We start from the raw sequence: 13,017 nt of genomic DNA, 5'->3' as shown, positions 1-13,017 counted from the left end.
GAAGCCATCAGGTCAAGGGCTTTTCTTTGTCAGCAGGTTTTTGATTTTTGATTTGATTTCCTTATAAGTTATGGATCAATTCAATTTTTCTATTCTTGGTAATCAAGTCTTGCTAGGTTTTTTATACCTAGAAATTTGTCCATTTCATCTAGATTGTTCATTTTGTTGTCACACAGTTGTTCACAGTACACTCTTTAAAACATTTTATTTCTTAGAATCAGGCAGGCAGATCATGAGATCAGGAAATTGAGACCATTCTGGCCAATATGGTGAAACCCTGTCTCTACTAAAAATACAAAAATCAGCTGGGCATGGTGGTGCATGCTTCTAATCCCAGCTACTTGAGAGGCTGAGGCAGGAGAATCGCTTGAACCTGGGAGGCGGAGGTTGCAGTGAGCTGAGATCGGGCCACTGCACTCCGGCCTGGTGACAGAGCGAGACTCTGTCAAAAAAAAAAAAAAAAAAAGAAGAATTAGTAGTAATGTCCCCATCTCATTTCTCATTCTACTATTTTGAGTATTCTGTAATTTTTTTCATAGTGTAGCTAGAAGTTTGTGAATTTGTCAACATTTTTGAAGAACCAAGAACCAACTTTTGGTTTTGTTGGTTTTCTGTTTTTCTGGTCTCTATTTTCTTTATCTCTACTAAGATCTTCATTATTTTCTTCTTTCTGTTTATTTCGTGCATAGTTCATTCTTTTTCTAATTTGTTAGGTCATAAAGTTAGGTTATTGATTTGAGACCCTTCGTCTTCTTCTTCTTCTTCTTCTTCTTTTTGTTTTGTTTTTTTGACAGAGTCTCACTCTGTTGCCGAGGCTGTAGTGAAGTGGTGCAATCTCAGCTCACTGCAACCTCCACCCGCTGAGTTCAAGCGATTCTCCTGCCTCAGCCTCCTGAGTAGCTTGGATTACAGATGCCCGCTACCATGCCCGGCTAATTTTTGTATTTTTAGTAGAGACAAGGTTTCACCATTTTGGCTAGGCTAGTTTCAAACTCCTGACCTCAGGTGATCCACCTGCCTGGCCTCCCAAAGTGCTGGGATTACAGGCATGAGCCACCACGCCCAGCCAAGGCCCTTCTTTAATGTGTTTATAGCTATAAATTTCTGATCTTCACACTGCTTTTGTGCATCTCATAACTTTTGGTATGTTGTATTTTCATTTTCCATTCTCTGTATTTTTTAATTTCCCTTGAGTTTTTTTCTTTTACTTATTGGTTGTTTAAGAGTATGTTAAATTTTACAACTTTGTGAGTGTTTTAGTTTTCCTTCTGTTATTGACTTGATTTGTGACATAACATACAGTCCATCCTGGAGAATGTCCATGTGTGATCCATGGACATTGAGAATAGTGTGTATTCTTCTGTTGTTGGGTGGAGTATCCTGTATATGTATCTGTTAAATTTAGTTGGTTTGTTGTATTATATAAGCCATTTATTTCTAACTTATCTTCTATCTGGTGATTCTGTTCATTACAGAGAGTGGAGTATTATCATCTCTATTATTTTAGAACTGTCGACTTCTCCAATTCTGTCGACTTCTCTCTTCAATTCTGTCGATTTGTGCTTCATATATTTTAGTGGTTTATTATTAGGTACATGCATGCTTATAATATTTATATCTTCTTGCTAAAGGGACTTTTGTGAATACACAGTGTCTTTGTATTTTTATGTAAGATTTTTGATTTTAAGTCTATTTTGTCTGATATTAATATAGCCAACCCAAATCTATTTTGCTTACTGTTTGCACGAAATATCTGTTTTCTTCCTTTTACTTTCAGCCTAGTTGTATCTTTGAATCTAATGTGAATCTTGTAAAAACAAGATAGTTAGATCATGTTTTATAGTCTGTTCTGCTGATTTCTGCCTTTTAATTGGATAGTTTAATACATTTACATTTAAAATAATTACTTAAAAGTAGAGAGTTCTGTCCTTTTGCTATTTGTTTTCTGTATATCTTACATCTTCTAGTTTTGTATTTTCTACATTATTTCTTCTTGTTTGGTTGATTTTTTCTGGTGAAACATTTACACTTTTTATTTTCTTTTGTGTATATTCTATGGCTTTTTTGTGATTACGATCATGGGGATGACATTTAACACCTGAGTTTATTTATTTTAATTGCTGCATAGGACTATATTCAGTCACATATTTGTAACTAGTATAATTTTTAAATCCAGTCTACTTTTGATAGTAATCATTGGGATATTTTTTATACTTTATTTTTTTGGTAAGTATCAAGTTTACATAAATATTAAGTGGAAAGCACAGAGTTTCCATGTATCCTCTCCCTGCACCCAGCTTCTCCTCTGTTATTAACACCTTACTTTGGTGTGGCATATTTTTACTGTTAATGAACTAATATAGAAAAGTTATTATTAGCTGAAATCTAAAGTTTGCATTCAAATTCATGGTTTTTTTTATTTTAAAATCTATGGATTTTGACAAATGCATAATGACATGACATGTATCCACCATTACTGCATTATGCAGAATAGTTTTGCTGTCTTAAAATATATGCTGTACCCCACCTATTCATCTCTCCCTTCTTCCCCCCAAACTTGGGGATACCACAGATCTTCTTACTGTCTCCTTGGTTTTGCCTTTTACAGAATGTCATATACTTGGAATCATATAGCATGTAGCCTTTTCAGATTTCCTTCTTTCCCAACCATATGCACTTAAGGTTCCTCATATCTTTTCAAGGCTTGACAGCTCATTTCTTTTTATCAGTGAATAATGTTCGTTGTATAGTTGCACCCCAGTTAGTTTATTCATTTACCTATTGAAGAATATCTTGGTTGGTTTCATGTTTTGGCAATTATGTATAAAACTCTTCTTAATAGTAGGGTGAAGAGTTTTGTGTAGATGAAAGTTTCCACCTCTTTTGGATAAAGGCCACAGAGTGTGATTGCTGGATTGCACTTAAATGTATGTGTAGCTCTGTAAGAAACCGGCAAACTGTCTTCCAAACTGGTCATAGCACTTTGCATATTCACCCGCGATAAATGAGAGTGCTTGTTACTCTATATCCTCACCAGCATTTAGTGTAGTCATTGTTTTGGATTTTAGCCATTCTAATATGTGTGTGGCAGTATGCCATTGTTATTTTCAATTTCCTAATGACATATGATGTTGAGCATATTTTCATATGCTTATTTGCCATGCTTATATGTTCTTTAGTAAGGTATCTGGATCTTTTGCAATTTTATAATTGGGTTGTTCATTTCTTATTCTTGCGTTTTAAGAGTTCTTTATTTCTTGTCGCATATTCTGGATACCAGTCTTTTATCAGTTATGTGTTTTGCAAATATTTTCTTTTATTCTGTGGTTTGCATTTTTATTCTTTTAACAGCATCTTTGGCAGTGCAGAAATGTTATTTTTAAAATAGTTCAACTTAGCAGATTTTCCTTTCATGGATAATATTTTGGGTGTTGTAGAAAGGAGCAAAACCTGAGGTAATTCAGATTCTGATCTTTGTTATTTTCTAAAAGTTTTGTGGGTTTTCCTTTTATATTGAGCTATGATCCATTTTGAGTAATTTCTGTGAAAGTTGTTAGGTCTGGGTTTAGGATTTTTTTTTTCTTTTCTCTTGCATGTGGATGTCTAGTTTTTCCAGTACTGTTTTTTGAAAAATTATTCTCTCTCAATTGAATTGCCTTTGCCATTTCATCAAAAATAAGCTGACTATATTTGTGTGGGTCAATTTCCGACCTTTCTCTTTTGTATCGTTTATCTGTTTCTCTATTATTTTTAACAGTACCATGTTATTTTGATTACTGTAGCTTTATAGTAGTTCTTACAGTTGGGTAGTGTCATTCCAACTGTTCTTTTTGAATATTTTCTGGGCTATTCTGGGTCTTTTGCCTTTTCATATAAACTTTAGGGTCAGTTTGTCAATATCCACAAACTAACTTTGTGGAATTTTGATTGGGACTGCATTGAACATGTAAAGTTGGGAGGTACTGACATTTTAACAAAGTTGAATGTTTCTTGAATGTGAATTTTCTCTCTATTTATTTAGATCTTCTTTGATGTTTTTATTCACAGTTTTGAAGTGAATAAAGTCCTATATTTATATTTATTTTGTTAGATTTGCACTTAAGTATTTTATTGTTATTGGTACTAGCATAAATATCATTGTTTTAAATTTCAGATTCTAATTACACTGCTAATATGTAGGACAATAATTGACATTTACATTTTCTTATAATTTGCAAAGTTGGTATAATTGCTCATTATAATTGGTTATTCTAAGATTTTGTTTTGTGATCCTTTCAGATTTCTCCATAGGCAATTATATCATCTGTGTAAAAAGACAGTTTTATTTCTTCCTTCCTAATCTATGTACCTTTTCTATTCTTGTCATTGTATTACCTGGGGCTTACAGTATAATGTTGTATAGGAATGGTGAGAGGAGACATCTTTGCCTTGCTCCTGATCTTAGCAGGAAGGCATCTAGTGTTTCTACATTTAGTATGAGGTAAGATGTAGGTTTTTTTTAATAAACATTCTTTTGAAATTGAGGAAGTTTTTCCCTATTTTTAGTTTGCAGAGTGGTTTTCTCATGAATAGATTTTGAATTTTGTCAAATAATTTTTCTGATTATATTGATAAGATCATATTATCTTTTTATATCTCTTAATATGATGAACTAATTTCTTTAAAAGACAGAGTCTTGCTATGTTGTCTGCGCTTATCTTGAACTCCTGGCCTTAAGTGATCCTCTTTCCTTGGCCTCCTACTGCACTGGGATTACCGGTATGAGCCACCACACCCAGCCTAATTTATATTCAAATGTTGAACCAGATTTGCATGCCTGTAATAAATCTCACTGGGTTGTAGTGTATAATTCTTTTTATACATTTTTGGATTTGATTTCTTAATATTTGGGTGAGGATTTTTGCATCTTTGTTCACAGAGTAATAGAATAGAATTATAATAAGCACTCTGATAGAAATCAGTTTCGTTCCTGCAACTATCCCTAGAAAAATACAATAGTTGGCAGAAAAGGAAAAAAATAGATGGAATAAATTATAAATTAAGTGGAGAAGAGAAAAATAATCTGCAGAAGTAAATTGTCAACCAGTTTGAAATCAGGTAAAATGTAGATTCATGATTTCTACTCTTTCTGAATAATTGTACAATTCTGTGCAATAGGAGCTTCTGTCAGTGCAAATATGGAGTCACCTATGGAAGAGCTTTGCTCAAACCAGCCCCCTGACAGCCAGTCCCTCAGGCCCAGAAGTCATGAATCGTTCCTCCAATAAGTCATTCAGTTGGCTGGCAGCAAACACTGTTAAGATTCTGGATGGCAGCTGCATTTCATATTAGATTTTAACAGAAACTCATGATGAAAAGTCTTTAAGACCTAAACGTCCAAGTATATTATTGTATAATTTTGAGTATTAGAAAATCAGTAGGATGTTCTTTCAGCATTTCTGAAATAACAGTGCAAAAATAGCTCCAGCTTCATAAGGCCAACCTTTGGTATCTGTGTTCTGCAAAATAGGGTAAGCAAGATGCCACAAAAGCCAGGTTGTATGTGTAATTATCTTCGCTACAACAACAGGACTATCACACTTTAAGCAACCCTGTGGGTCTTTAAAATAAAAAAAAATGTAAGACGTAAAGAAAAACTTTCTTGAGAGAGAACATTTTACAAATCAGAGGAAAATCTTGCAGAACTTTTACATTTTATAACAAATAAATTATATGCTCTATTGTTTTCCTCTGAGTACATCATCAGTACTTCCATAATACTTTTAATGTTTAACTTGAGAAAACCAGTAGCTTAAAAAAACACAAAGGCACAGTAAAAATCCTAGATATGTAGAATTAATATACATATATTTTTAGATGGAGTCTCGCTCTGTCGCCAGGCTGCAATGCAGTGGCGCTCTCTCGGCTCACTGCACCCTCTGCCTCCCAGGATCAAGTGATTCTCCTGCCTCAGCCTCCCAAGTAGCTGGGACTACAGGCGCATGCCACCACACCCAGCTAATTTTGTATTTTTAGTAGAGACAGGGTTTCACCATGTTGGCTAGGAAGGTCTCAATTTTGACCTCATGATCCGCCCACCTCAGCCTCCCAAAGTGCTGGGATTACAGGCATGAGCCACTGTACCCAACCAGAATTAATTTTCATAAGCTGATAAAGAAATAACACACCAGTGTCTTCTCAGGGAAAAGCTTTTAAGCAAAGCAATCATTTCTGGTAGGGATTATAGAAGAGGGAGTTATCATGATGAAATGGTGGAACTAATCCAGGACATTCCAGATTTTGATTATTGACAAAAGAATTTAATCAGTTGCCCAGGAATACTACTTGGAAATCCAACTTGAATTATTATTCTTAGAAACATTTCTGAAACTTTCCCTTTGGAAACAAGTTTTTATCTTAAGATATACCAGACAATAGAAGAAAAAAATGAAACAGCAGGCAGAGGAAGATGAATCTTGCTTAGGCAGGGACTGAGAGGAAATTAGTGCCCGTGGACCACATCTCTGAGTCCACTGTGTGACAGCTTTCTCCAGGACCACATGTGCTCCACTGAACAAGAAGAGTCCACCTTCACCTTATTCCCTGCCAATGTCAAAATTAAAATGAAACAGCCTAATATGAGAATCAGAGTATATAACAAAACTTCCGTTACATTTAAAGCATGCAAAGTATTTAATTGTAAATTCAAACAGTGGAAAAACAAATTTGCTTGCCTCCTGACTAAAACATTATTCTTTTATGAGAACATAGTCTGTGATTGCTAATCTCATCACCAGGGATAACCAGTTTAGCATGGCATAGAACCACCTCTGTGCAGAGGTAAATATGCATTTATTTTTATAAAACAAAGATTATACTCTGTACTTTTATACCACACTTTTAAAATACCTGTTGTTATTGTGATCATTTTATAATTATTTGAAAGAACCTCAATGGCTATACATTAAATCAAAATAACATTTCATAATTTCACAATTTTCCTACTGGACACTGAGTTTGCTTTCATGGAAGTTCATATTTGTATGATAATTTGAGGGAAGTTTCTCTGCCTCACTAGATTAAAAACTTTGTGTTTAATGTTTGTTCACTGTTGTACTCTTATTTCATAGGAGTACCTGAAACATATCAGGTAGACTGCAGCATCTGTTGAATGAAGGAATCTCTCCTTCAAATCTTGGCTAAAATCAGCCTTATCTACAAAAGTTTCTGACCCTCACTTTAATTATAAACCTCTTTCTCTTCTATAATTTGCTTCTCTAGCTGTTTTTTGGGACTCCCTGGCAGGGAAAATACATATAGCAATGCTTTCTACACTATTTAAAACCACCAGAGATCAGGCACACTACCCCTGATGAGGCTTGTGCCACTAGAAAGGAAAGGCAGGTTTGTGAGATTGATCTCTCTCAAAATATTTGTTTTCAATCCCCATATTATCAAATATGCACCCAAAGTGGAAACGAGGACTGGAAAGAATAAATACATCAAAAATATAACCAGACCGTGCATGGCAGGTCATGCCTGTAATCGCAGCAGTTTGGGAGGACAAGGCTGGAGAATTGCTGCCCAGGAGATGTGAGACAACACCTCTAATAATAATTATTATTATAATTAAAGTTAAAAAAGAAACATCTCTCCTCAAAAGATAAGTAGATAGATAGGTATATAGATAGGAGCCAGGCACAGTGGCTCACGCCTGTAATAGCAGCAGTTTGGGTAGTCGAGGCAGGAGGATTGCTTGAGTGCAGGAGTTCGAGATCAGGCTGGGCAACATGGCAGAACCCAGAACCCTGTCTGTACATACATACACATAAAAAATAAAAATAAAATAAACATAACAATAACAAAGAAACAATAACAAACAATAATAGAACAATAAACAACCAAATAAGTGGGAATGAACTAAGGTAAATAGGCAATTAAGATCATAATTGTTGTCTCTCTCTCTCTCTCTGTCCCTTTCTCTCTCTCTCTCTCTCTCGATCTTTGTGTGTCACACTGTCACACCCAGGCTGTAGTGCAGATGTGCAATCATGGCTCACTGCTGATCGCACAAGCTGCACTCCAACCAGGGTGTGACAGAGTGAGAAGACCTAGCCCTCACCCCCCAACAAAAAAATCTAAAACATTAACTTCAGTGTGCAGGAAGGAGTGTAAAAAACTTAAAACAGAGAGAGAGAGCAAAGAACAAAGGAAAAAAGCAGCAACCCCCTCTAAGTATTGTGGAAGCAAACTGAAAATTGTCCGAGTAGTCCCAGCTACTCGGAAGGCTGAGATGGGAAGACCACCCAGGCAAGACCAGGGAGATCGAGGCCACAGTGAATCACGATCACATGTCTCTGTTGGACCTGAGCAGTACTGCCGGTGGTGAGAACCGTCTGGTCGACCTTAGATGTAGCAAGCTAGCAGCTAGGTCCAGTACCCACAGCCGACACCTGTCTCAAAATAAATAAACAAAAAAACACAACAGTAAATATTTAACAATAACAAAGAAATAATAACAAACAATAATAAGACCAATAAATAAGTGGGAGTGAACAAAGGTAAAAGATAATTATCACAATTAAAATCTTCTCTCTTTCTCTCACACTCTGGCTGGAGTGTGACAAAAAGAAAAAATCTGAAAGGTAAACTTCAGCATGCAAAAAGGAGCATAGGAAAATAGAGAAGAACGTAAAACCTAAAACAATAGCAAGTCACTCTAAGTACTGTGGAAACAAACTGAAAGTTGGATTAGAAGAGAAAAAAAAAGAGGAAGTTGAGACCAGCCTGGGCAACATGGCAGAACCTCTAACCCTGTCTTTACACATACTTCCCCATCAAACATTTAAAAATACAAAAATTAGCCTGGTGTAGTGGGACATGCCTGTAGTCCTAGCTGCTCAGGAGGCTGAGGCAGAAGAACCACTTGAACCCATTAGGCAGAGGTTGTGGTGAGCCAAGATCACACCATTGCTCACTCTAGCCTGGCCGATGGAGCAAGACTCTGTCTCAAGACATGAAAATAATAATAATAAAAAAAGTAGAAGTAAAAAATACAAAAGTCAACTGGTGTGGTGGCTTGTGTCTGTAGTCTCAGGTACTGGGGAAAGGGGAGGCATTGGAGGCGTGAGGATTACTCAAGTCCAAAGGGTTGAGGCTGCAGTCATTCTGGGTGACAGAGTGAGACCCTTTCTCCAAACAAACAAACAACATAACAATAACAAAAATATAATAAACAATAATAGAACAATAAACAGCCAAATAAGTGGGAGTAAACAAAGTTAAAGGTAATTAATATCACACTTAAGATCTCTCTCTCTATATATATTTGTCAAACCCAGTATGTAATGTGTCAAAAAAACTCTAAAAGGTTAGCTTCATCGCGCAGGAAGGGGCGTAGGAAAATAGAGTAAAGAACAAAGGAGGAAAACAACAGCAAGTCACTGTAAGTACTGTGAAAATAAACTGAAAGTAGGGCTAGAAAAAAAACAGAGAATGTCCGAGTAGTCTGATGGAATTGGGAGTCTGAGATGAGAAGGCCACCCAGGTGAGACCAGGGAGATTGAGGTCACAATGAATCACGATTGCATCTCTCTGCTGGACCTTAATGGTACTGTAATGGACAAGAGCCATGTAGCTCTTAGATGTGGCAAAGTGAGAGCCTTCTGTTCGTCCTTAGACTTGGCAAGCTGCTGGCTAAGTCCAGTGCTTATGGCCGATATTCGTCTCAAAATAAATAAACAAAAAATACAAGAGTGAATTCTTAACAATAACAAAGAAATAATAACAATATGAAAGATCAATAAATAAGTGGGAATGAAGGTAAAAGGTAATACCACAATTAAGACCTTCTCTCTCTCTCTTTCTTTCTCTCTATTTGTCACACCTAGGCTTGAGTGTGATTAAAAAAAAAAAATTAAAAGGTAAACTTCACCGTGCAGGAAGAAGCATAGGAAAAGAGAGAGAGAAAAGAACAAAGAAAAAAAAGAATAGCAAGTCTCTCCAAGTACTATGGAAACAAACAGAAAGTGGAATTAGGAAAAAAGAGAGGAAGAAGGTCTGAGTAGTCCAAGGGACACGGGAGGCCAGTTGGGAAGACCGCCCGGGCGAGACCAGGAAGATCAAGGCCACAGTGAATCACGATCCCATCCCTCTGCTCAACCTGAATTGTACTGCTGCTGGCGAGAGAGATCTGGTCGACCTTAGACATGGCAAGGCGAGAGGTGAGGTCCATCAGGTCGACCTTAGTCCAACGCTCACAGCCGACATCTCTCTCAAAATAAATAAACAAATCCAACAGTAAATATTTAACAATGACAAAAAAATTAAAGAACAATACATAAACAGGTTGCAGTTAACAAAAGTAAAAAGTAATTAATATCACAATTAAGATCTTCTCCCCTGTCTCTCTGTTTGTCACACCCAGGCTGGAGTGTGTGACAAAATAAAAAATCTAAAAGATCAACTTTATTGTGCAGGAAGGAATGTAGGAAAATAGAGAAAAGAACAAAGAAGAAAAACAAAAGCAAATCACTCTAAGTACTGTTACTGTGGAAACAAACTAAAAGTGGGTTAAAAAAAAAAAAAAACAGAGGCTGGGCGTGGTGGCTCATGCCTGTAATCCCAGCACTTTGGGAGGTCAAGGCAGGCAGATCACGAGGTCAAGAAATCAAGGCCATCCTGGCCAACATGGTGAAATCCCGTCTCTACTAAAAATACAAAAATTAGCTGGGCTTGGTGGCGTATGCCTGTAGTCCTAGCTACTCAGGAGGCTGAGGAAGGAGAATCATTTAAACCCAGGAGGTGGAGGTTGCAGTGAGCCAATATCAGCCACTGCACTCCAGCCTGGCAACAGAGTGAGACTCCATCAAGATCAACAACAACAAGAACAGCAAAAAACAGATGAAGAAGGTCTGAGTAGTCTCAGGTACACGGGGGGCCCCCCAAGATGGGAAGACCACCCGGGTAAAACCTGGGAGTCTGAGTTCTCAGTGAATCGGGAATGCATCCCTCTGCTGGACCTGAATGGTACTGTCACCAGCAAGAGGCATCTGGTCAACCTTAGACGTGGCAAGCTGATGGCTAAGTCCAACACTTGCAGCCGAAATTGGTCTCAAAATAAATAGACAAAAAATCCGATGGTAAATATTGAACAATAACGAAAAATAATAACAATATTAAGGACCAATAAATAAATAAGTGGGAGTGAACAAAGGTAAAAGATAATTATCACAATGAAGATTATCACAATGAAGATTTTCTCCTCTCTCTCTCTTTCTCAATTTGTCATGCCAGGCTAGAGTGTGACAGAAATCTAAAAGATCAACTTCATCGTGCAGGAAGGAGCATAGAAAAATAGAGAAAAGAAGAAAACAGCAAACCATTCTGAGTACCGTGGAAACAAACTAAAAGTGGGCTTAGAAGGAAAACAGAGGAAGAAGGTCTGAGTAGTCCCAGGGACTCCAGAGGCCAAGATGGGAAAGCCACCCAGGCGAGACAGGGGAGATGGAAGCCACAGGGAATCACTATCACATACCTCTGCTGGACCTGAATGGTCCTGGCGCCAGCTAGAGCCATCTGGTCGACCTTAGACATGTCAAGGCAGGAGCCATCTGATCGACCTTAGACTTGGCAAGCTGGTGGCTAAGTCCAGTGCTCACTGCCGACATCTGTCTCAAAATAAACAAAAAGTCCAACAGTGAATATTTAACAATAACAAAAATATAATACCAAACAATATTAAAGACCAATAAATAAGTGGGAGTGAACAAAGGTAAAAGGTAACTAATATCACAATTAAAATATTCTGCTATCTCTCACTCTCTCTCTTCCCCTTTCCATTTGTCACACCCAGGCTGGAATGTGACAAAAAAATATAAAAGGTCAATTTCATCATGCAGGAATGAGTGTAGAAAAAGGGAGAAAAGAACAAAGAAGAAAAACAACAGCAAGTCTCTCTAAAACTTCAGTTAGTTTCACTGTAGAAAAAAAAATTGAAAGTGGGGTTAGGAAAAAAAGGAAGGAGGAGGATAAGTTCAGGTAGCCTGAGGGACTAGGGAAGCCAAGTGGGAAGACCACCTGGGTGACACTGGGAAGATCGAGACCACAGTGAATCATGATCACATCCCTCTGCTGTACCTGAATAGTACTTCCAAAGGCAGGAGCCATCTGGTCATCCTTAGTCATGGCAAGGCGAGAGCCATCTGGTTGACCTTAGATAAGGTGAGAGCCATCTGGTTGACCTTAGACTTGGCAAGCTGGCAGCTAAGTCCAATCCTCTCAGCTGACATCTTGGAGAGAGAGACAGACAGACAGACACAAACAGCGAGACAGGAGAAAATCTTAATTGTGTTATTAATTACTTTTCACCTTTGTTCACTCCAAACAGAAAAAAATCCAACAGTGAATATTTAACAATAACAAAGATATAACTACAAACAATATTAAAGACAAATAAATGGGAGTGAACAAAGGTAACAGGTAATTAATATCACAATTAAATTCTTCTAATCTCTTTCTATCTCTCACTCTCGATTTCTCTCTGTCAACTTCATCAAGCAGGAAGGAGCACAGGAAAATATAAAGAGAAAACAAGAAAAAAATAGAAAGTCACTCTAAGGACTGTGGAAACAAACTGAAAGTAAGGTTAGGAAAAACAAAGGAAGGATGTCGAAATAGTCTGAGGGAATCAGGAGGCCGAGATCATCAGAAGGCCACCCTGTAGAGACCTGGAAGACGCCCAGGGCACAGTGAATCACGATCCGATCCCTCTGCTGGACCTGAATGGTACTGCTGCTGCTGAGAGCCATCCTCTCGACCCTAGACTTACCAAGCTGGTGGCTAAATACAACCCTCGTGGGAAGATCTGTCTCAAAAGAAAAAAATCCAACAGGGAATATTTAACAGTAACAAAGAACTAACCATAACAATATTAAAGACAAATAAATAAGTGGGAGTGAACAAAGGTGAAAGGTCAATTATATCACAATTAAGATCTTCTCTCTCTTTCTCCATTTGTCACAACCAGGCTGGATTGTT

This window comes from Homo sapiens, chromosome 19, assembly GCF_000001405.40.
Source record: "Homo sapiens chromosome 19, GRCh38.p14 Primary Assembly".
In the NCBI taxonomy this organism is placed as follows: domain Eukaryota; kingdom Metazoa; phylum Chordata; class Mammalia; order Primates; family Hominidae; genus Homo; species Homo sapiens.
This window is presented reverse-complemented; position numbering follows the sequence as displayed.